This window comes from Homo sapiens, chromosome 21 (genome assembly GCF_000001405.40).
Source record: "Homo sapiens chromosome 21, GRCh38.p14 Primary Assembly".
Classification (NCBI taxonomy): Eukaryota; Metazoa; Chordata; class Mammalia; order Primates; family Hominidae; genus Homo; species Homo sapiens.
Window position 1 is genome coordinate 40,585,272 of NC_000021.9, and position 25,782 is coordinate 40,611,053.

The 25,782-nt window shown below is 39.2% G+C and overlaps 1 protein-coding gene across 3 annotated transcripts in view, besides 1 other annotated feature; it reads right to left on the bottom strand.

Moving 5' to 3' along the window:
- The window catches only part of DSCAM (DS cell adhesion molecule), an 836,160-nt gene that overhangs the window by 574,273 nt on the left and 236,105 nt on the right, over positions 1-25,782 (bottom strand). The gene's annotated exons all lie outside the window — the stretch shown is intronic.
- Positions 2,356-2,880: an enhancer, noted in NCBI's record as "NANOG hESC enhancer chr21:41959554-41960078 (GRCh37/hg19 assembly coordinates)". NCBI's record gives its function as "activates a minimal SCP1, AML or CMV promoter by ChIP-STARR-seq in naive H9 embryonic stem cells {active_cell/tissue: H9 hESC(naive)}" and the evidence as "EXISTENCE:reporter gene assay evidence [ECO:0000049][PMID:30033119]".

Here is a 25,782-nt window from a genome sequence, read left to right on the forward strand (position 1 = left end):
TGGGAAATATTGGAGCTCATTAGATCCATGAAGATACTCTATTGAGTGTTAAAGAAAAATGCTGCGTGAACCCGGGAGGCGGAGCTTGCAGTGAGCCGAGATCCCGCCACTGCACTCCAGCCTGGGCGACAGAGCAAGACTCCGTCTCAAAAAAAAAAAAAAAAAAAAAAAAGAAAAATGCTTAAAAGAACACATATGCAAAAGTTTACAAGTGGTAATAGATCTACAAGTCTTTTTTAAAGCACAGCAAAATACATGGGCAATTTCAGAGAGGATCTATTTTTTCTTGTTTAATGCTGAATGAAGAATTATTCCACCCACCTCTCAGCAGTAGTGACTGACCAAATAAGAGGGTGTTACGGTTTGGATATAGTTTGGCCTCACCAAGTTGTAGGTCGAAATTTGATTCCCAGTGTTGGAGGTGGGGCCTAGTGAGAGGTGTTTTGGTCATGGGAGTGGATCCCTCATGAATGGCTTGGTGGTGTTTTTGCAGTAAAGAATGAATTATTTATCTACTAGTTCCCATGAGAGTGCCCCTGAGAGTTGGTTGTTAAAAAGAGCCTGGCACCTTCCCTGTGCTCATTTTGTTTGTTTTTGTTTTTGAGATGGAATTTCACTCTTGTCACTCAGGCTGGAGTGCAATGGCACTATCTCAGCTCACTGCAACCTCTGCCTCGCAAGTTCAAGCGATTCGCCTGCCTCAGTCTCCTGCGTAGCTGGGATTACAGGTGCCCACCACCACACCCAGCTAATTTTTGTATTTTTAGTAGAGACAGGGTTTCACCATGTTGGACAGGCTGGTCTCAAACTCCTGACCTCAAATGATCCATCCACCTCAGCCTCCCAAACTGCTGGGATTATAGACATGAGCCAACATGCCTGGTCCGTGCTCTTTTGTTTCTGTTCTTGCCATGGGATCTCTGTGCAGTGGCTCCCCTTTGCCTTCCACTGTGAACAGAAGCAGCCTGAAGCCCACACCAAAAGCAGATGCTGGCACCATGCTTCTTGTACAACCTGCAGAACCATAAGCCAAATGAACCTATTTCTTTATAAATTACCCAGTCTCACGTAATCCTTTACAGCAACATAAAAGCAGACTAACACAGAAAATCTTGTTTGACTGTTCTGTGTCCCAGAGACAGAGTTGATTAAGGAAAATGACAACACTGCATCTTGGGAAAGAGTGTTCAGAAGCACCCCACCCAAAGCTGTTATGAAGGAGAAGGATGTTTCAGCCCAGCGCTCCTCAAACTTCATTTGCATAATAATCACTAGAGGATTTGTTAAAGTTCAATTCCGATTCAGGAGATCTGGGTAGAGCCTGAGATTTTGCATTCCTGACCAGCTTCCAAGTGATGCTGACAGTGACAGACAGCCTTAAGGTGCAAGATATTTCTGGTGACATTGCTGTATATATTTCCAAGAAGGTGCGAGAGGTGTGGACAAAGATCCATGCTTGAAACCCAACTTGCCCAAGAAACACATGGAACACTACCCTGCCATGTCAATACTTACGCAATCCTCAGTTTGTTTCTAAAGCAAATTTCTGTACCTAACAACACAATATGACAGTCTTAATAGCATATAATTAGACAACAGAAGAAGGCTGGACTCTAAGTGGTAGCAAATATGAACATTTGGGGCAGTAACCACATCACACAGCATCTAAAAAGGAAAACAAGGCACTAATTCCAGATACAAAAATAAAGAAGAGCAGATGAGTAATTCAAGGAGTACATTAGAGGACACAACCTTTTCAAAAATAATTTTTAAATCTAGTAAAATTATTATACTTAAAATAATCTTGTGATCAACAAACATACAAAAAAGGCTTTGGGAGCGAATTAATACGTGTAATAATCTCATCAATGAAACAAGGGTCCATTGGAGAGGATATGAAAAAGGATATGTATCAGAGACTTTTAACTGAAAATTACCTCAAAATCATCTAATTTGTATCTACCCGTATTTCTGATGAGAACACTAGGGTCATGTCTTAGCTTTAAGCATCTAATTTTCATGACAAAATCTGGGTTATAACTCACATAATCACATATTTTTCCCAATACAATGCTAATCCACACACTGATTTTAGTGAGTATAGGTTAATTACAGCATCCATTCATGTTGGAAAATGTTTATTAAGTTTTATACAATTTTTTATCACATCAGTTAAAGAAAAAAATGGTGTGTACCCCGTAACTGGCTGCATTACCAAATAAGTGGGAATGCATAGTCTTTATCACAAAATGTTGTTTATCATTTGATAAATCCTTCTCAAATTTTAAGAATGCCTTTCAATAAACATCATCTCTACTTAGCATCTCTGTCATTGAAATTTTATGAAAAGTATAATCATTTAAATAGTAAGAGTAATTTTTTTCAGTGATGCTGCAGCACAAGTTTTAGCCCAAATAAAATATATTGTAAAGGTCATTTTCTGATGTACAAGCCAGATATTCTTTTTTCAAGCACTTGCAAAGCCTTTGGGTGTGAGCTGGAGTTGAAAGTTAAACATCAATTTGCATTTGGTTTAGGAAATCCTTGTCACCTTTTCATGAAATTTCAGCTGTCTCAGTGGATTTGGCAAGATCAAAGCCCAGCACTCAGTCAGCCCCAGTTTTAATCCCTGCCAACAGTCATCATTTGATTCTTGAGCACAAAGAGCTACTACTGGTGCACTGCTGCCCACAGTGCTATGACTTCATGCGGCCTTGTTTTCACCTGCTTCCATTCAGCTGGGTGCATGGCTTCCAATATTGCAGAGATTTGCAAAATTGGTACAAGGAGAATCTAAACTGCAGATGCCTTCAGCTGCCAGGCATGGACTTAAAGGCGTTCCTGATCCACATGACTCAGGATTACAGCCACAGACCTTGGCGGGCCCCTCAGCTGCTCTGAGAAGAGGCAGGATCTACCTGACTCCAAAGAACACTCACTTACAATTGCATTACCTACCCCTCTGATATTAGGTTGGCTCAAAATCATGGATTTTGGCATTAAAAGGTAATGGCAAACATCACAATTACTTTTGCACCAACCTAATATATACTGTCATATATTCAGGAAAAAATTACTTTGTGAATGTCACATGGTTAATATCAACATTAGTCAGAACATCTAAAGGGGGAATACCCTTGTGATGAATCTTAAATACCGAGCAGGATGGCAAAAGTCTTTATAATAAACATGAACAAATGCAGTAAGTTTCAGCAAGTGGTGATGAGGAAAAACTGTGGTGAAATGGACATTTTTAGAGCAACAGACTCTCCTTGTTGAAAGCATGGAGGCTGTTTACTTTTGTTTTACTATAGATTCATAAAAAGTGATGGATAAAAATGGTTGTTTAGCAAAGTAATAAATAATGATAATCTAATACAAATATTTAGTATGGAATGCTCATGAAGATTCTAGTTTTTCATTCTCCCATGACCTAGACGAAAGAAAAAAAGACAGGTTGTTGTTTTTCTTTTTTTCTGCATGTATTATTCAATTTGTAAAATTCTACATGTGGAAAAACATTTAACAAGAAAACTGAATAAGAACAAAGGGAATTATGTTGACAGAGGAAGAAAAAGAAAAACTTTATTCTCATTGAAAAGAAAATGCAACCATTTATGTGAAGCAAAATGAATCACAATCAATGATCAGTATTCTGTAGCCATATTTTCAGGAGCTGGATTTTTCAACTGATTAATTAGGAACTCAAACTGTATGTGTATGAAAAAAAGTAGACTGGGGCAAGTTATTTCCTGTGACAATCCCAGCCGTGCTACCATATCCCTCTCCACTTCTCTGTCTTGTTTTCCAAAGACCATGAAAATAACTATTATTCACAACGAAATTGCAATCAACAAGTCACTTTTTTCTCATGGGGAATAATCAGTGAAGAAACAGCAACCCACCCTGCAGCTCTCACCTCCAAAATACAATTTCTATGCTTTGGCAGCCAATACAGTACAATTAATGTTTAACTCCATGCTTTCTATCTAAACAAAATGAAATAATAAAAACTAATAAATTAGTTCGGGCACAGTGGCTCATGCCTGTAATCCCGGCACTTTGGGAGGCCGAGGTGGGTGGATCACGAGGTTAGGAATTTGAGACCAGCCTGGCCAATATGGTGAAACCCCGTCCCTACTAAAAATACAAACATTAGCTGGGTGTGGTGGCATGTGCCTGTAATCCCAGCTACTTGGGAGGCTGAAGCAGGAGAATTGCTTGAACCCAGGAGGTGGAGGTTGCAGTGAGCCGAGATCACACCACTGCACTCCAGCCTGGGCAACAAAGCAAGACTCCATCTCCAAAAAGAAAAGAAAAAAACACACAAAAAACAAAAAACCAACTAATAAATTACCACCCTTTTAAGATATAAGGTATCATAACTAAGGAAAGTGAGACTAGAAGCTTGGCATTTTTGAAATCATCTTTGGCAATGTATATGACATCAAATGTACATGAATAGTGAAGAATGGAGTTTGCAATCTAGCATGTGCGGTCATTACAAAACCATCCTCACTGCTAAACTTCTGCACACAAACTATTTGAGAATATTAGATTTATTACACTGCTTTGTCCTCTGGTAGCTTATGTCTGGATAACATAGCCAAAAATTATGTACAAATGAACTGGCTCACTTTTTTTAATCTGTCACTCCAAGTTAACACTCTCCTCTCCTATCACTCAGCAGTTTCTTTTAAGATGTAAAAATAAATTTAAACCTAATAACTCCTCTTCCTGAGAACTGAATTGGTAGATATTGTGTCTTCAATCAATGGGAATTAGTAGGCAGTTTCCGTCATTTTGTAAGAAATTCCAAACACTGAATATGAATCTCCAATGTAACTAAGAAATAGACCCAAAGTGCAACAGGATTTTTACCCACAGGGAAGACCAAGCCTAGGCTCAAAGGCCTAGATTCATATCCCAGGTCTGCGACTTACATGGAAGTATGTAAATATAAAATATTAACATGATATGGACAATGGCACTTTGATAAATGCAAGATTCGAATATCCCCTATTTAGTGCTCTATCATTAGGTCCACTTTCTTAACCCATGCTTGGGCCAGAGGGGCACATTAATGAGCCATGGAGCCCCTGCAGGGGTTCTGCCCCATGCATTTACAGCTGGAATTAAATCCCATCTCCACCACTCTGCTCCCAGTGTGAACATGGGGAAAGTTGATTAAACTCTCTGACTTCAGATTCCTCATGTAAAATGTGGGGAAACAGCTCTGACTTAATGGTGTCACTGTGAGGAGTAAATGAGGTAACATATTTAAAGGATTTTGTATAGTGCTGGTGACAGTAACCAGCCAATAGATGATATAGCTAGTAATAGCAATAATAATGTCACTTACTATTACTTTAAAAAATAAATCTCAAAGTCAAAAATACTAAGAAACTAACAAGAGACTATACTTGGGTCTCCCTTTTGTAACTTTTGAACATTATCTCACTTCTGAAAGTCCTGTACCAATATTATCCTCCTCATTTCTCAGGTGAAGCAGCATCTTAGAGGGGTATTGCCCTGTCTAAACCATCTGGTTATCATGGTGAGGTCCAGGATTCTTCCCTTTCCTCATCTTTGCCTTAAAAACATGTATTCTAACCAACTGCCTTAGTTTGTCCAGGCTGCTATAACAAAATGCCATGGCTTATTGATATGGTTTGGCCGTGTCCCCACCCAAAATCTCATCTTGAATTGTAATCCCCATTATCCCCATAATCCCCATGTGTCAAGGGAGAGACCAGGTGGAGATAATGGAATCATGGGGGCAGTTGCCCCATGCTGTTCTCGTGATAGTGAAGGAGTTCTCACGAGATCACATTTTTTTTAGGTGTTTGGTAGAACTTCCTGCATTCAATCTCCTTCCTGCCACCTTGTGAAGAAGGTGCCTTACTTCCCCTTTGCCTTCCATCATGATTGTAAGTTTCCTGGGGCTTCCCTAGCCATGAAGAACTGTGAGTCAATTAAGACTTTTTCCTTTATTAATTACCCAGTCTGGAAACAGAATAATACACTTATAAACAACATAAATATTTTTCCTCATAGTTCAGGAGGCTGGGAATTCCAAGATCAAAATTCCCTCATCACCATTGCCAATAAAGTACTGAGTATCCACCTGTTACCTAAACACGCAATACTAGTTGTTATATAAAGCCATTTGTTAAAAGCCTCCTTACCATTCGATATAAGTAAAGAGGAAAATTGTATGTTAACTTGTTTTCTATCCCAGTATGACAGACATTTGAAACAGATAAAAGGAGTGTACTTGTGAGGGTATGTTATATTGTGTGGAATAGAAAGTGTCCACTAGGGTTAAATTTCTTGGAATAATTCTATTAAAAATGAGTTTGGAAAGAACAAAGTGAGGTAACAAGGTATAAATATACATAAACTCTAGGGTTGTTCCCAAGAAGTGGTCATAGTTATAATAGGGACAAACTGAATTCTAATTTAATATTTTTCACTTCAATCCCTTAACCATATGCCAAGTATACGTTGGCAATACAAATGGCCCAGGCTATTTGGAGAAAATGCATTCGATTTCTAATAGCTTACCAATAATATGTATTAGCTTGTTGGACCCATTTTACAAATGAAGGAATTATGTGTCATAGAAACTACATTATCTGCCCAAGAATTAAAGAGCAAGAAAGGGACAGGGTCTTACTTTGACCTTAGCCAGGACTCTCCCCCATGGCCCAGCTGCCTTCTGGCATTCAGAATTGCTAAATGTGTCACATTTAAGAAGGTAGTCTACAACATCCTGCTGGCATTCAGAATTGCTAAATGTGTCACATTTAAGAAGGTGGTCTACAACATCCAGGAAGGCAGTAATACCCCATTAAAGTTTTAGAGCTAAGTACAATTTTGTTTTCTTTTTCAATCTGACTTTTGCATATATAAAATGTTAAATTTTTCAGGTGAGAAATTACTCTGATAATGCAATTAGTCTGTAAGGAGTTTAGGTAGTTATCCTAAGGCAAGGTAACAGTAAGGATACTTCAAATACTTGAAATATCTGATAAACTATATTAACTCAATATCTATCAAATATCACATACTCATATGAGCTTGTATGTCTTATTTTTAATAAGTTAAAGAGACTCAAATAGGAAGCAAAAGGTCAAGTTATTATTTGGTTTTGGACAATGGCTTCCTGCTCCAATTGAAATAAAATGTAAAGACCTCGCTATCATTTTTAAGGTGTAGTGGTTTCACCCCTCCCTGTCTCTCCCACTTCACTGACCACTTCCTTAACTGTCCACTCCGAAACACCCCTTCTTCCTGTTCTTCCAATACACCAAACTCTTTCTTGCCTCTGTGTGCTTGCCCATGCTGTTCCTTCTGGCTTCTTCCTTCACATTCAAGTCTTGACTTAGATGTCACTTGCCAAGGGAGACCTTGGAGAACCCTTCCTGACCATCTCATCCATCACCCTCACCCCATGTCATCTCTACAGCATCACTCTGGGTTATTTTCTTCACCGCACTTGTATCACCATGGATTATATGTTTATTGTCCTTCCCTCTCACAGAATATAAGCCCCATGAAGACACAGATCGAATTCTAACTTATTGCTGTCCCCAGCCCTTAAGAGTTCAGAAGAACTCACAAGCACGCACATATTTGTTGAGCTAATGAATTGCAGATATTGTACCAGTGATTAAATGGAAACGAGGTTTTAAAAGATGCAAAACAAAATACATTTGACGAAGTTAAATGTTTGAAGAGCCAAAATAGTTTCTGGATTAGAGTTCAAAATTAGTACTAAAAGTATTTTCTGCCCTAAACTGAAGTGTGGTACTGCCTTAGAAACCTGTTAACTTAAACTACACTATTTAAGAGTTAAAGCATATGTTTTATATATTGGAACTTCACAAAAAAGGATTTTTTAATTTTTTTTTATTAAGTCTGTGCTATTAATAATTCTTGAAATTGTTGGTCCTTGGAATAAAGGCCAAACTCCTAGACTTATGTCATGGTTTTGTAGCCTCAACTATCAGCATTCCAATCCTTCACCTTTTCATGATGTTTCTCTTTTTTTTTTTTCCTCTGTTTTTGAGATGGAGTCTTGCTCTGTCGCACAGGCTGGCAGGCAGTGGCATGATCTCAGCTCACTGCAACCTCTGCCTCCTGGGTCCAAGAGATTCTCCCACCTCAGCCTCTCGAGTAGCTGGGTCTACAGGCATGCTCCACCACAACTGGTTAGTTTTCTTTGTATTTTTAGTAGAGATGGGGTTTCACCATCTTTACTGGTGAAACCAGTTGGCCAAGCTGGTCTTGAGCTCCTGACCTCAAGTGATCCACCCACCTTGGCCTCCCAAAGTGCTGGGACTACAGGCATGAGCCACTATACCAGGCTATGATGTTTCAATATTATAAAACTATTTAAAATTATCTGAAAGCATCATGTATCATGGTCATGAGTTCCTCACTGTTATTTTACTATTCAGAGCTAGAATGCTCAGTCTGAGCCAGTTCAGCTTACTTTACACACAGGAAATGGAGGTTGAATTTCCAAGCGACCGAGTGATCCATTTCTGATGTTCATCAGTAAGTCAGACTTACATCTTAAATAGCTGCTAACATTTGCTACCTATCTACAGATGTTTTCCGCTAAATCTCATGTTCCAAAATAGAAGGTTTTAATCGACTCCTATGAACACAGGTTAAATAGCATATTTTGTTGTTGTTGTTTTCGTTTATGCTTTTTCAGAAAGTTACTTAGGTCCATTCATTTATCCCCCTATATTTGAAACAAAATTCTGCTTTCTTACAAGCCCCTTTTCAGTTAATCTCAGGTGGCTATCATACTTAAAATTGTGGAGAATTATTTTCATCCATAAGGCCTGTAGGAAGATGCCCCTACCTCAAAACTTATTGGGATAAAGTCAAAAAAGGGTCATCCTCTTAAAGGTAAAACAGGAAAATATTAATCAATCCTAGATTTGGAACAATAATACACTGTGCAATAGAGTCTGGACATGTGTGGCTGGTGGGTGGAGATTCTGCAAAGCCATGAGTCCCTGGAAGGTAACCAGCAGACTAATTTTACAGTGTGACATAGCTTATCACAATAGCGGACAGGAACCTGGGTTTAAAGAGGACTCACTTGGGCAGTAATCCTGGCCTGTCGTTTCAGGAATATGACCTTGGGCAAGATACTTGTATTCTTTGAATCTCACTCTTATCATCTGAAAAATAAAAACACTAACGACTGTCTCAAGACTGCTGTGAGTATTCAATAAAATAACAGCTGTCAGGCCATTAGTTAGCACAATATTTGGCACAGGGTAGGGGGTAATAAAGAGTAGCCATAGAGATAATGTTGGGATGATGGCCTAAAGAGGATGCTGGAGCACAGTTAGGTGTGAACAGAGGGTCGCATGCCATAATCATAATCAATAACTTGTAGATAATCAATAACTTGTATGTAGATAAAAACTTGACTGTCTACAGTAACAGATGTGGGCTCTCAACTGGGTCCAGCAAATGGAACAAATGATTGTGTTTTTGGTGTTACTCAGGGGAGGGGAGGCTGATGCCAAGACAGTAACCTCAGTCTTTGTAGAGGGAACCCCATATGCTAAAGAGATATCGCTTGAGAATGTTTCATGCTCTTGAGCCCAATTCTATGTGCTCCCTGATGGAAGGACAGGTAGGTATTGGGTGAGGTGAGCAACCAACACTTACTGGGTGCACCTTCAAATAGGACACCTTCTGAAGTCCCCCTAGCCCAGGCAGCACAGGGCAGGCCTTCTTTGGTGCCACCAAGTGCAATTGTGTTTCCTTCTTATTTTACCATCTGCTATGCATTTCTTTCCATATCCATGCCTATAATTCCATGAGTTTGGGAGGCTGAGGTAGGTGAATTGCTTGAGCCCAGGAGTTTGAGACTAGCCTAGGCAACATGGTGAAACCCCGTCTCTCCAAAAAATACAAAAATTAGCCAGGCATGGTGGTGCACACCTGCAGTCCCAGCTACTCAGGAGGCTGAGGTGGGAGGATCACTTGCGCCCAGGAGATCAAGGCTGCAGTGAGCCCTGATCACACCACTGCACTCCAGCCTGGGTGACAAAGTGAGATCCTGTCTCAAAAAAAAAGAAAAGAAAAGAGGAAGGAAGGAAGGAAAAGAGAAGGGAAGGGAGAGAAGAGAAAAAAGAAAAGAAAAGAGAAATTGCTAGGGAAAGGCACATACTGGGTTTCCAAGAGCCATCTCTATTCGAAGGTGTGCAAAAGACTCCCAGTGCTTAAAGGCCCAGCCAAGCTCTGCCCTGAAGGCCAGGGTGCTGTTTGCCTCAGGAACGGGAACACAACCTTTGTAGCTGAAAGTCAGCTCTTCTGAACCTCCTCACATAAAACACTTATCAACAGAAAAGATGAGGCACAACCTAACCACATACTCTGGTTCCAATTTATAAGAGGATCAGATCCAAATATAGTTTATTACATTGAAAGGGATGTTCTGATGAGAATCCATTTTTAAAAGAAAGGAAAATAGCAAAGAAGCAAGCAAGTTGTAGCATTACTACAGTCTTTGGATCCAAACATCGCGAATGAGAAATGCTTTAGGCAAAGTAAAAGTTTTGACCTGAATGAGACGAAGTATCCTGGTACCTAAAGTCATCCCTGTTGGTAATGGGATCCACAGGCGGCAAACTGTGGCCTCTGTGCTCTGTGTGAGTGCATGTGCGTGTCTGGACTGATTCTTAGGCCCTGCTGGCCTGTGGTTTTCCTTTGCGCAAGAACTAGCACAAGGCAGAGCACTAGGACCAGCCTGTTTTCTCTGCAGTGGTTTGCTGAGCCCATGCTCTGGGGGTAAGCCTTAAAATGGCACATGAGCTTGTAGCAAGAAGGACCCTAATATCGTCACATCAACACGGCTGACTCACTTGTCCCCTAATAATAGACAGGTACTACCTAGAAAAGTAGATGTTTTAGAAAAACACTAAAGATATTTTTATATCTGCAGGATCGGTACCACTCTCCAGCTTTCTGATACTTGCTTTCAAATATAAGAGTGCTTCCCCTACATGACACCTTTTTAAGGAAGGACTAATTTTAAAGCATATTAGAGCCCATATTCTGATATTCATTGACGGGTGGGAGTTGATGAGCGTAAGGTGACTCAGAGGCCCTCAATGGCCATTTTTGTCAAAGAGCTTATTGAATTTTGTGGGTATTATTCAGTTAGCTAAAAGAAAAAACATCTTATCTACTCAGAGTTCCACAGCACAAAGAACCAAAAGTTCTTTCTTAATTGGAGAGGTTGGAAAGTATAATTATGCCGTATGCTTGGCAGGTAAATATCTTAAAAACAAGAACAACAGAACACAGAATTGTGGTAATTTCTTGCAACAAGAAAATGTCTTGAAGATGACCTACCTCCTGCACCCCTGACCATACTGGGTGATACGAAATGTGCACATTAAGAAAAACTAGTGAACTCTATTTAGATAATTTTAAGGGAAACATAGAATGATTTTTATGTGATCTACGACCTGACCACATTACAGTTTTATAGCTGAAAATCACTCTTGGGGAAAAATAAAATAGCTCCCAGTTTCCTCATTTTACAAATATTTCATATATATATATATGCTCATGTTCCTCAGTATTCCAGAATTCATCAAAAGATAATAGGTAAGGCAGCATGATGTTATATTAAAAATAAAATAAACAGCATCATCTTCTACACTTGTCTTTTCCCTTAAAATGAAAAAATGAAAGTTTATAAACTCATTTGTAATTAAGATTATAGCTGTTTACAAATATTTTTGCTAGTTAATTTTACCAACCCAATTAATTTATCACATTTTCAGAAACCCAAATCTAATAAAACACACTCTCAATAAATAGTAAGCACTCACAACATAATGCATATATTTAGCCGTTATTTCTAAGCCAGGTTGGCTATTACTAGCTTCAACTAATTTTTGCCTGACTGGAGGGCACTGCTACACCCTGAGAGCAATATTCACAGGGTAAAGAAAAATAATCTACTTTTCCTACATGACCTTGTGTATTTCATATTTATGTTTTATTTCTTGGGAAAATATCTTCTTCAAACGAAATGTCTCCTTTGTTGGTTTAATGACAGAAATGGGGTACTAAGTATTTCACAGAGTTTTAGGATAAAAAGGTTCATGGTTCTAAATCAAAGTTTGCAAGCCGGTTTTTTTTTTTTTTTTAACCTATCTTTTTTACAGTAATAGGCTTTTTTTTTTTTTTTTTTTTTTTGGAGACAGAGTTTTACTCTGCCTCCCAGCCTGGAATGCAGTGACATGATCTCGGCTCACTGCAGCCTCCACCTCCTGGGTTCTAGCTATTCTTCCCCCTCAGCCTCCCAAGTAGCTGGGACTACAGGTGCCCACCACCACGCCCAGCTAATTTTTTGTGTTTTTAATAGAGACAGGGTTTTGCCATGATGACCAGGCAGGCTGGTCTCAAACTCCTGACCTCAGGTGATCCATCCGCCTCAGTCTCCCAAAGTGCTGGGATTACAGGCGTGAGCCACAGTGCCCGGCCTATTTCTTAGAACAGTTACAGATGTATAGAAAAATTGAGGCGATAGTAGAGAGAGCTCCCATGCACTGTCCCCTGCCACTCCCCTATACTCAACTTCCTATATTATGAACATCTTGCAACAGTGTGAGGAATTTGCTGTTAACTAAAGGCCGCGATTTACATTAAGCTGTACTCTGTGTGTTGTACGTTCTGTGCCTTCTGACAAATGTATAATGTCATGTATTCACCATGCTAGTGCCATGCAGAATAGTTTTACTGCCTCACAAATCCCTGGGGTTTGTCCTGTTCATCTTTCCCCACCTGCCACCTTCACATCCCTGGCAGTCACTGACATTTTTATTGTCTCAGCATTTGCCTTTTCCAGAATGTCATATGGTTGGATCCACATACGATGTGGCTTTTTCAGACTTGCTTTCCTTGTGTGGCTGTATGCATTTAAGGTGCTTCCTGATCTTTTTGTAGCTTGATGGATCATTCTTCTCATCACTGAGTAAAAGTCCACAGTTCACTCACTCAGTTGCTGAAGAACACTTCGGTTGATTTTAGTTCGGTTGCCTTTAGTAAACATTCATGTGCAGATTTTTACGGGGAAATAAGTTTTCAAATTATTTGCATGAATGCCAAGAAGCGTGATTGCTGGATCCTATGGTAAGACTATGTTTAGTTTGTAAGAAACTGCCAAACTGTTTTTTTTTTTTTTTTTTTTTTTTTGAGATGGAGTCTCACTCTGTCACCCAGGCTACAGTGCAGTGGCACGATCTTGGCTCACTGAAACCTCCGCCTCCTGGGTTCAAGTGATTCTCCTGCCTCAGCCTCCCAAGTAGCTGGGATTACAGGTGCACGCCATGACACCCGGCTAATTTTTGTATTTTTAGTAGAGACAGGTTGTCATCATGTTGGCCAGGATGGACTTGATCTCTTGACCTTGTGATCTGCCCACCTCGGCCTCCCAAAGTGCTGGGATTACAGGCGTGAGCCACCGCGACTGGCCCAAACTGTCTTTTAAAGTGACTCTGCCGTCTCTGTTACTCCACATCTCATCAGCATTTGATATTGTAAGTTTTTTGAATTTTAGCCAGTTTAGTAGCTATAGAGTAGTATCTCGTTATTGTTTTAATTTAAAATTATTTAACGACATATAATGCTGATCATCTTTTCATATCTTTATCTTCCACTTCTGTGTCTTCTTAGGTGAGGTGATCTTCCAGATCTTTTGTTCTTTTTTAACATTGGATCATTTGTTTTCACATTGTTGAGCTTTAAGGCTGCTTTATATATTTGGATACAAGTCTTTTTCCAATATGTGTTTCACAAAGATTTTCTCTCCATCTTTGGCTTGTCTTTTAACGTTCTCAATTGTTCAATTGTGTCTTTTGCTGAGCAGAAGGCTTTTTTTTATTATTATTATTTTACTTTAAGTTCTGGGATACAAGTGCAGAACATGCAGGTTTGTTACATAGGTGTACATGTACCATGGTGGTTTGCTGTACCTATCAACCTGTCATCTAGGTTTTAAGCCCCACATGCATTAGCTATTTATCCTAATGCTCTCCCTCCCTTGGCCCCCAACCCCCTGGCTGGCCTCAGTATGTGTTGTTCTCCTCCCTGTGTCCATGTGTTATCATTGTTCTGGGACACAGCTAAAGCAGTGTTAAGAGGGAAATTTATAGCACTAAATGCCCACATCAGAAAGCCAGAAAGATCTCAAATCGACACCCTAACATCACAATTAAAAGAGCTAGAGAAGCAAGAGCAAACAAATCCAAAAGCTAGCAGAAAACAATAAATAACTAAGATCAGAGTAGAACTGAAGGAGATAGAGACACAAAAAATCCTTCAAAAAAATCAATGAATCCAGGAGCTGGTTTTTTGAAAATGTTAACAAAATAGATAGATTGCTAGATAGACTAGTAAAGAAGAAAAGAGAGAAGAATAGACACAATAAAACACGATAAAGGGGATATCACCACTGACCCCACAGAAATACAAACTACCATCAGAGAATACTATAAACACCTCTATGCAAATAAACTAGAAAATCTAGAAGAAATGGATAAATTCCTGGACACATACACCCTCCCAAGATGAAACCAGGAAGAAGTCAAATCTCTGGATAGACCAATAACAAGTTCTGAAATTGAGGCAGTCATTAATAGCCTACCAACCAAAAAAAGCCCAGAATCAGATGGATTCACAGCTGAATTCTACAGAGTTACAAAGAGGAGCTGGTACCATCCTTCTGAAACTATTTCAAATAATTGAAAAGGAGGGACTCCTCCCTAACTCATTTTATGAGGCCATCATCTCCTGATACCAAAACCTGGCAGAGATACAACAATAAAAAGAGCAGAAGTTTTTAAATTGAAGGAAGTCAAACTATCTTAGCTAGCTTGGGTTGCTATAAGAAAATACCATCAACTGGGTAATTTATGAACAACTGACATTTCTCACAGTGCTGGAGACTGGATAGTCCAAGATCAGGGCACCAGCAGATTTGCTGTCTTGTGTGGAGCTGCTTTCTGGTTCATAGATGGTGATTCTTGCTACGTCCTCACATGGTGGAAGAGACAAGGCAGCTCTCTGGGGTCTTTATTATATGGGCACTAATCTCATTCACGAGGGCAGAGACCTCATGATTTAATCACCTCTCAAAGGCCCCACCTCCTAAGACTATCACAACATATGAATTTTGGGGAGACACATACATCCAGACCATAGCACCAACTTATTAATTTGTCCTTTCATTCGTCATACTTTTGCGGTTGTATCTAAAAAGTCAAAACCAAACCCAAGGTTACCTAGACTTCCTCCTATATTATCTTTTAGTAGTTGTATTGTTTTGCACTTTATATGTGGGTCTCTAATCAATTTTGAGTTTTTTTGTTGTTGTTGTTAAAGCACGTATTGTAAAATATTTGCTAAATTTTGTGTCTAGTTTCTTTCACACATGGATTTTCAGGTGTTCCAGCATTATTTGTTGAAAAGACTATCCTTTCCCCATTGAATTGTCTTTGTTCCTTTGTCAATATTCAGTTGAATATATTTGTGTGCATCTGTTTCTGAGCCCTCATTCTGTTCCATTGACCTACTTGCCTGTTCTTCCACCAACACCAGAAGCTAGTGATTACCAAAAGTCTTGAAGTCAGGTAATGTCAGTTCTCTCATGGTTCTTCTACAGTATCTCCTTGCCTATTCTAGGTCTTTTAGCTTTCCATGTAAGCTTTAGAATCAGTTTTTCAATGTGTAAAAATTGGCTTGCTGAGATTTTGATTGGGATGACTCTGAATCTATAAATCAAGTTGAGAAAAACTGACATCGTAACAAAATTGAGTCCTGTCCATGACAATAGAATCTCTCTCCATTTCTATATATCTTGTCTATTTCATTAGAGTTTTGTAGTTTTCTTCATGTAAATACTGTCCAGATGTAGTTAGATTAATATTTAAGTGGGTTTTTTGGTGCTAATAGAAATTATATTGGTTTTTCATTTCAAATTCCAATTGTTTATTGCTGGTACATTGGAAAGCAATTGACTTTCATATATTAGTCTTGTATCCTGCAACCCTCTATGACTACTTATTAATTCCAGAAATTTTTTTGTTAACTGTTTCAGATTTTCAAATAGACTACCATGTCATCTGTGAACAAGGACAATTTTATTTATTTCTTCTCAATCTGTATATATTTTATTTCCTTTTCTTGCCTTCCTGGATTAGCTCAGACTTCCAGCACAATGTTGAAAAGGAGTGATGAAAAGGAAAATCTTTTACTTGTTCCAATCTTAGAGGGAAGAAACTTATTTTCTCATTATTAAGTATGATGTCTGTTATAGGTTTTATGTAGATTCTTTTTTCCAAGATGAGGAAGTTCCCCTCTATTCCTAGTTTGCTGAGACATTTTTATCATAAATAAGTGCCGGTTTTACCAAATTCTTTTTTGCATCTGTTGTTATGATCATATGATTTTCATTCTTCAGCCTATTATAATGCGATAGGTTACATTTCCTCATTTTCTAATGTTAAAGCATCCTTCAATACCTGGAATAAATCCAAATGCATCATGGTACATTATTCTTTTTATACATTGTTGGATTTAATCTGCTAGTATTTTATTGAGTAATTTTGTATCTAAATTCATTAGAGCTATTGATCTGTAGTTTTCTTGTGATGTCTTTATCTGTTTTGGTTTTAGGATAATACTGGCCTCATCAAATGAGTTAGCAAATGTTCCCTCTGCTTCTACTTTTTTTTTTTTTTTTTTTTTTTTTGAGATTGGGTCTCACTCTGTCACTTAGTCTGGAGTGCAGTGGCTAGATCTCTGCTCACTACAACCTCTGTCTCCCAGGCTGAAGTAATTCTCCCACCTCAGCCTCCCAAGTAGCTGGGACTATAGCCATGTGCCTCCATGCTCAGATAATTATTTGTATTTTTTGTAGAGACAGGGTTTGTCATGTTGCCCAGGCTGGTCTGGAAATCCTGAGCTCAAGCAATCCGCCCGCTGCGGCTTCTCAAAGTGCTGAGATCATAGTCATGAGACATAACGTCAGCTCAGCTTTTATTTTTAGGAAGAGATTGCAAAGAATTGGTATCATTTTTTTTCTTTAAGAGTTGGTAGATTTCACTAGTGCAAACACTGGTGCCTGATGCTATCTTTTTTGGAAGGTTATTAATTATTGAGTCAATTTCTTTCATTGATATAGGCCCATTCAGAATATCTGTTTCTCCTTATACAAATCTTGATAGTCTGTGTCCTTCAAGAAATTAGTTTATTTCATCCAAGTATTCAAATTTATGGCTACAGGGCTTTTCATAACCCTATTATCCCTTTAATTATTATCCTTTTAACATCTATGAAAGCATTCCTGATGAGTTCTCTTTTATTTCCAATATTAATAATTCATGTCTTCTTTTTGCTTGATAGCCAGGTTAGAGGTTTACCAATTTTATTGACATTTTTAAAGAACCAGATTTTAGTTTTGCTGATTTTCTCTACTGGTTTCCTGGTCTCAATGTAGCTGATTTCTGGTCTAAGTTTTATTATTTTCTTTCTTCTGCTTGTTTTAGGCTGATATTGCACTTCTTACTCCAGTTTTCTAAGGTGGAAGCTTCGACTATTGATTTCAAATCTTTTTTCTTTTCTAATCTATGCATTCAATGTTATAAGTTTTCTGTGAAGCAGTGATTTCATTGCATCCCACATTTTGATAGGTTATATTTTCATTTAGTTACAAATAATTTAAATTTCCCTTGAGATTTCTGCTTTGACTTATGTGTTATTTGGAAGTGTATTTTTATTCTCCAAATATTTAGAGATTTGCAGCTGTCTTTATGTTATTAAATTTAATTCCATTGAAGTTTAATTTCATTATAATCAAGACCATATTTTATATGATGTCTATGATTTTAATTTTCTTGAGATGTCTTTTATAGTCCAGAATATAGTCTTGGTGAATAGACCATGTGAATTTGTAAAGAATGTGCATTCTGCTGTTGTTCATGAAGTATTCTATGAATGTAAATTAGATTCAGTTGTTTGATGGCATTGTTACATAGGTCAACTATAACCTTACTGATTTTCTGTCTGCTGGCTCTGTTAACTACTGACAGAGGGGTGCTGAAGCCCCTAACTATAACAGCAAGTTTTTCTAATTCTGCTTATGCATTTTATTTTACTGTCATTTATTCCTACGAAGCTCCTCCTTTTGTTATGTAAATCTGAATTTCTGACCCATGCTATTTTCTTCTTTCTGAATACATTCTTTTAACCTTTCTTAAATGTTAAAGGCAGGTTTACTGGTAACAAATTCCCTCAATTTTTTTGTGTCTGACAAAAATCTTTATTTCTCCTTCACTTTTGAAGAAACATTATGTAGACAGAGAATTCTATCTTGGTGGGTTTTTTGTTGCTGTTGTTACTGTTGTTGTTGTTCAATACTGTACATTTCACTCCACTCTCTTACTTGTGTAGCTTGTGGCAAAAAGTCCAGTATAATTCTTAGCTTTGTCTCTCTACAGGTAAGGTGTTTTTCTCTGGCTTGTTTCAATATTGTCTCTTTTTCTTTAGATTTCTGCAGTTTGGATATGACATGCCTAGGTGTAGACTTTTTTGCATTTCTTTTTTTTTTTTTTTTTTTTCTGAGCCTCTTGGATATGTGGTTTAGTGTCTATCATTAATTTTGGAAAGCTGTCAGCTATTGTTATTTCAAATATATCTTCTGCTCCCTTTTCTCCTTTTTCTGGGATTCTCATTCTGCATGTGTTATACCTTTTGTAATTGTCCCAGAGTACTTGAACAGTCTGTTTCTATTTTTCCATTCATTTTTTTTCTCTTTGCATTTTGGTTTAAAAAGTTTCTCCTGACGTATCTTCAAGCTCATTGATTCTTTCTTGTTTATATCTAGTCTATTAATGAGCTCATCAAAGGCACTTTTTATTTCTGCTACATTGCTTTTGAGTTCTAGCACCTCCTTTAAATTCTTCCTTAGAGTTTCCATTTCTGTGCTGACATTATCCATCTGTTCTTGCTTGTCATCTACTTTTCCTATTAGAACCCTAATTCTGTTAATCATAGTTAAATTCCATATCCAATAATTCCAAAATCACTGCCATATATGAGTCTGGTTCTGATGCTTATTCTGTCTCTTCATATGTATTTTTTCTTGCCTTTCATTTCTTGTCATTATTTGTTGAGAGTCAGACACAGTATTTGGGTAATGAAAGCTAATATAATTAGACTTTTAGCATGAGGTTTTACATGAATCTGGGCTGTATTTAATGTTTGATGTAGCTGCAGGTGACACAGCCTTTAGTTTCTTTATCTCACTTTTCTCTCTTGTTGTCTTTGTGTTTCCCTAGGAACTCATTCTTGAATAGAGGCTGCATCTTGCAGCTCTCTTAGCTGTAATTCACTGGTATTATTTTGGAGCCTTGTTGATGTGATGCTGAGGTGTTAGGGAGAGGAAGCTCTCCATACTCTTAAGATAAAATCTCAGCTTGCAGTATACCCAAGTCCCTGGATTGTGACTTTCAGATGTGCTTTGTGGTTGTGTTTATTTGTTTGTTTGTTTTTTAGCTTTTCTTCCTCCTCCTATGTGAGGCAGGCAGGATAGAAGGGGGCACCAGTGGCTAATTTTCCTTTCCTCAAGTTGGACAATGTTCTGGTAAGGTAGCCTTCCTTGAAGGACATGGTTTTCTTATAGAGAATGCAATGGGCTTGCTTCAAATACTTACCTTCTCACTTCCCATGCTCAGAACTGGAGGGGATTTTTCTCTGACCTTCATGTGAGAATCTGGTGAGCTTCCTGGAGGAAAAACTCAAGAAAGCTGTAGGGGCTCCTAGGAAATATTAACTCTCAAGCCTCACATACTTAGTCTCCAGCAATTCATTGAACTTACCATTTACGTGTTCCTACCAATCACTGGCTCCGCAAGCTTCTGCCCCCTGTAAGCTGACCTTGGCTCTCATTCTCTGTGTTGACCTGTCTCTCCAGATTGCAGACCAGTGGTTTGCCCTGTGACCTCAATCCTCTGATGAATCCAGAAAAGTCATAGATTTTCATTCTGTTCAGCTTTTTTTCATGTTATGAGCCCAGGAGTAATCACTTCCAAGCTCTCTGGGTGCCCTCGCTGAAAATCAAAGTCAGCAAACTTTTTCTTACGAAGGGCCAAATGATAAATATTTTTGGCTTTGAGAGATACAGAGTCTCTATTGCAGCTCCTGAAGTGTCCTATTGTAATATGAAAGTAGCCATAAACAAAATGCGAATAAGTGAACATGGCTGCGTCCCAATACAGCTTCATTTACAAAAAAAGGGGTTGGGCCACATTTGGCCTGTGAGCCCCATTTTGCTGATCCCTGCTCTATACAGGCTACAGAATGAAAGGCCATCAGGGGCCAAGACATTAGTAAACATGAGCAAAGGTGAATGGGTTTTAAACAAAAAATATGTTCTTCACTTATATATGTGCTTAATGCACATTCTTTTTTTTTTTTTTTTTTTTTTTTTTTTTAAGACAGTCTCACTGTATTGCCCAGGCTGGAATGCAGTGGTGCAGTCTCAGCTCACTGCAACCTCCACCTCCCAGGTTCAAGCTATTCTTCTGCCTCAGCCTCCCGAGTAGCTGGGATTACAGGCATGTGCCACCACGCCCAGCTAATTTTTGTATTTTTAGTAGAGACAGGGTTTCACCATGCTGGCCAGGCTGGAGTCAAACTCCTGAACTCAGGCGAACCACCCACCCTGGCCTCCCAAAGTGCTGGGATTACAGATGTGAGCCACTGTGCCCAGCCAATGCACATTCTTATTTCCATAAAAATGTTATATTTCATTTTTCTTTAAACAAATACTCTACTTTAGATAGGAATATGAATATCATAAATCATTTAATGCTTCTGAATTATAATAAAGAGACAGCCACACAATTGGCAGCTGGTACTCTGTCTCAGTGTTGGTGTTGGGGCCACGAGGGGGTGATGGGGACATTGATGAGCTGGAGTGAAGAGCACCAAAGCCACTGCTGGAGCTGCCAGGTGGGAATGAGAGCCTGCATTGCCAGATTTATAATTCTTCCAGAGGAGCTGGAAATCCAGATTTTATGTTACCTTTAAAATGTTTAGTGTTGGCAACTATTCAAAATAAATTTTTAAACATTGCCCAGGTCAACAGTCAAACACAAATATTTGTCAAGTACAAATCCTCTAGCTGGCTAACATTGGCTGGCTTGTGGTTGAATTTGGCCTCCAACCCAGGCCAGCCCCAAGTTTTACCAAACGGGTGCATGGGAGTTAAAGAAGGTGCCCAAGGTCACACAGCCAGGAGACAGCAGAGTGTGACCTGGGCTGTAGTAGCTGAGCAGCCCACTTCTGTATGCGAGCTCACAGCTCAGAGCAAATGTACCTTTTAGCTTCCATGGAATGAACATCTCTCTGCTCTGTTTTCAGTCTGATATGGTTTGGCTGTGTCATCACCCAAAACTTATCTTGAATTCCCACATATTTTGGGAGAGACCTGCTGGGAGGTAATTGAATCATGGGGGCAGGTCTTTCCTGTGCTGTTCTTGTGACAATGAATAAGTCTCACAAGATCTTATGGTTTTATAAAGGGCGAGTTTCCCTGAACAAGCTCTGTCTTTGCCTGCTGCCATCCTTGTAAAACATGACTTGGTCCTCCTTGCCTTCCACCATGTTTGTGAGGCCTTGCCAGCCACGTGGAACTCTGAGTCCATTAAACCTTTTTCCTGTATAAATTACCCAGTCTTGGGTATGTCTTTATTAGCAGTGTGAAAACACAGTCCCACCACTGAGTCATTTTCTTCCACTGATATTAAGAATCCTCGTGTTTACATTCTTACATACCTTTTCAGAAATCAACTAACTTCACACTCTTTTTTCAAAAAGCACAATTATGTTTCAGTTAATCAGCAAAAAGAACTAATAAAACAATCACAATTATGCCTGTGCTGTGAAATCACAGCAAGATAAATGGTTCCAATCAGTCAAAGGAATTCTACAAAGAACATCATATATAAGAAATGTGCTTCAAGTTATTTGGATCCAAATTTCATATGCCTCATTCTCCCTTTAATTCTGATTTTTTTTTTTTTTTTTTTTAGGAAATAAATTCCATCTTTTCAGGGATTTCATCTTTTTAGAAAGCGATATTCTTTCTTTAGGGGAAAAATGAAAAGAAGCATGATATGGTTTGGCTGTGTCCCCACCCAAATCTCATCGTGAATTGTACTGCCATAATTCCCACGTGTCATGGGAGGGGCCCGGTGGGAGGTAATGGAAACATGGGCGGGTGGGGGTTTCCCTCACACTGTTCTCATGCTACTGAATAAGTCTCATGAGATCTGATGTTTTTATAAGGGGTTTCCCCATTCACTTGGCTCTCATTCTCTCTTGCCTGCTGCCATGTAAGACGTGCCTTTCACCTTCTGCCATGAGTGTGAGGCCTCCCCAGCCACGTGGAACTGTGAGTCCATTAAACCTCTTTTTCTTTATAAATTACCCTGTCTCGGGTATGTCTTTATCAGCAGCAAGGTAATGAACTAATACAAAGCAATTGGTTAGAATATTCCCACATTGAGAGGCGCCATTCCATAGGTGCCACTTTGGATGGAGAAGGAAGTTGGTACAGGGCCAAGGTCCCTTCTCAGAGGCTGCAGTGAAGAGTGAGTGAGGAAGGGGGGAGTTTCAGGAGGGCCCTGGCTTGCTCTTGGTGTTGCCATCACTCTTGTTCCTGTGATCCAGAGATCTTCAAAAGACAGAATTATCACCTCTAAAGAGCACCATAAATGGTAGGAGGAGACTGATTATAAAATATACATAATCCTCATGAATTCTGCTGAAGTATTTTTCTAGTGGCAGTGAGAAATTATCCTAAAAACGTGATGACATCACATCTCATTCTATTTCATGGCTACAATTTTGAAATGCCATAGCAGTGTATTTTTCTGGCATTAGGGATAAAAATTAATATTTTGAAAATATATTTGAAACTGCAAAGAACAGCAAAATATCCTGTGATTATATGCAAAATTAAAATTAGGGAGAAATGGTTAGGTGTGTTGAGCAGAGTAACAAAAAAGAAACCGTGCCATTGTATACCAGGTAACATTGTATATTTTCTCATTTCCTAAACGGTGTTCTAAGGAAAAATAAGAGATACAGCTCAAAATAAACTGTTTTGTGCCCAGATAAGCTCTGGAAAAGGTTAGCTGAAGTGAAACAGGTGTGTTGACAACAGAATATCTCAGCACTTTTAGTGTGCTTGTATGCGTTGTATTCTTAGTAGATCTCTACTATGAGGTATTTTTCAAGTCTATTGACCATCAAAGCCCATATTCAAATGCAGAACTTTCAAACTCTCCCTGAGAAGTATTTAATGGAACACAATTTGGGAAACATTGATTCATTTTAATTGTTGGGAAATTTAAATAAATTCACATATTTAGAAAGTTAACTTTGCAATACTCTTAAAGGATACAACAATTTTGGTTTGAAGTGTACCAGGGACCTCTTCTCTTCTTTAAATTTAAGGTTATTAATTCCAGGAGCTACCACTCGTTTTCACCCTGGGTAATTTGCAAGTTCTTTCTGGGTAAAGTGTTTTGAATAAGTTGAATTGCTTCAGATTGTTATTAATTAATTAATTAATTTTGGGACAGGGTCTCACTCTGTCACCCAGGCTGGAGTGCAGTGGCACAATCATGGCTCACTGCAGCCTCGAGCTCCTGGGCTCAAGCAGTCCTCCATCCTCAGGCCCCTGCATAGCTTGGACTGCAGGTATGTGACACCATGACCAGCTATTTTTTGTATTTTTAGAAAAGATGGGATTTTGCCATGTTGCCCAGGCTGGACTGGAACTCCTGGACTCAAGTCATCTACCTGCCTTGGCCTCACAAAGTGCTGGTACTACAGGCATGAGCCACCGCGCCCAGCCTGCTTCAGATTTTTAAATCACGATTTTGCCGTTGTTGTTTCCCCAGATGGGTTTAGAAAGAGTGAAACTATGCACATCATATGAAATTTTCAATGCCAGAAGAAGCAATTCAACAAAATTGTTGCCATAAAATTTGTACTGGAGCAAGATAGAACACCTGTTTAGTTATCAATTAATACCTTTTCATTATGTTTTGCCTGGCTTTCTGTCTCCTTTGCCTGGCTTTCTGTGCAATGATACCTGGGCTAGGGTTATTTATGATTTGTAGCAAGGACGGCAATTAAGATTTATGCTTGTGGGGAAATGCTTGGCATCTCTGCTCTGTGAGAATAACACAAGGTAGTGATCTTTCTAATCCTGCAGTGTGGAAGGGATGAACTTCTGTGAGAAAAGGAAAGATGACTCAGGAAGGGGAGAGCATTGTTAGGACTGAATTGTTGGGGAAGATGGTAAAAAAGATGTTGGGAAATATCAACTGGAGGAGAGGTAAGTGGATAAAATAGAAACCCTTATTAGAATTAGGAGCTAATGGGAGGCCAGCATTTGCTTTGACAGAGGACAGGCAGGCCTTGCCTGGGAAAGTCTAGCTCCAGGATGGGCAGATGGTGGTGAGACTATCACGGCTGCCTCAAGCTCTGGTTAGATTCTTATTACTCAGTGCTCTTATATCAAGATGATTCTGGTGACAGTCCAACAAAGAGGTCACAGTTCACGTGGGATTAATTTAAAAGAGGCCACAATCCTGCCTCATAGGGAGACGGACTATTTCTTAGGTTCACAGGATACCTTTCTTGACAACCAAACACCTTTAAAACAAGCACGGGGCTTGGGACATAGTCCACACGAACATCTCGAGGATTCTGGGCTGAGAAACAGCATATTTAAATCTCTCATCAAAAATGAAATTCAGAAAGCCCAGCGAGACAATATCCACTCTTTACTGTAGAAAGAAAAAAATGCCCACATTTCTGGGAGGAAATTGCAGACCATCTGCTGCCCTGACGGCCACTCGGTGTACATTTCTCCCCTCCATCTCGGACACTGCACCCAGCCGTTGTGGACCTGAACTTGTGTCCTACCTTTGGTTTGCCCCTTCAGCAAACTGAGCAAACTAGAGAAATAAGGCAAACCAAGGAACAGCCCTAGATGTCTGTAAAGAGCCCAGCACGGGCTGCCCATGACCCTGGGGCTGGCAAGGCCCCATCCCCTCCATCAGAGTAGAAGCGGCTTCCAGCTTCCGGTGGGAACATATGTGCTTATACGACTTTATGTGTGGGGCTGTGTGATTCTGCCAAAGTGCTTGAATTTGGCACTTCTCCTGTGTCTGATTCCATCCCCTCCCCTCCCCCAATAAAAATGCACTTCCATAGGCTCTGCCTCTAATCTGCATAATAAGATTCAGTTTTACATGAACCATGTCCACGACCTCAGGGCCAGGCATCAGGGTGGCCGTCACCTAATCATGTTTCCCTAAGTGTGTTTCATGGGAGGTGAATATCCAAGGTCTTAAAAAGATGAGACCTATGCAAGGTCCAGTCAGCTTTGAAATGCACTGGCTTAGAGTTAACAGCAGTTTTGCTGCAGGACTTCTCAGGGCTTTTGATATGTTCATTGCAAACCCTCTAAAGAGTGAGAGTGCTTGCAGAATTTCTCCAAGTACATTTCACCCTAGAACCTTCTCTTCAGAGCAGCTTTGTCCCACAAAATATAACATGAGACATAAATGTGAACTGCATATGTGGTTTCAGATTTTCAAAAAGTCATATAAAAATGTAAAAAGAAACAGGTGAAATTAGTTT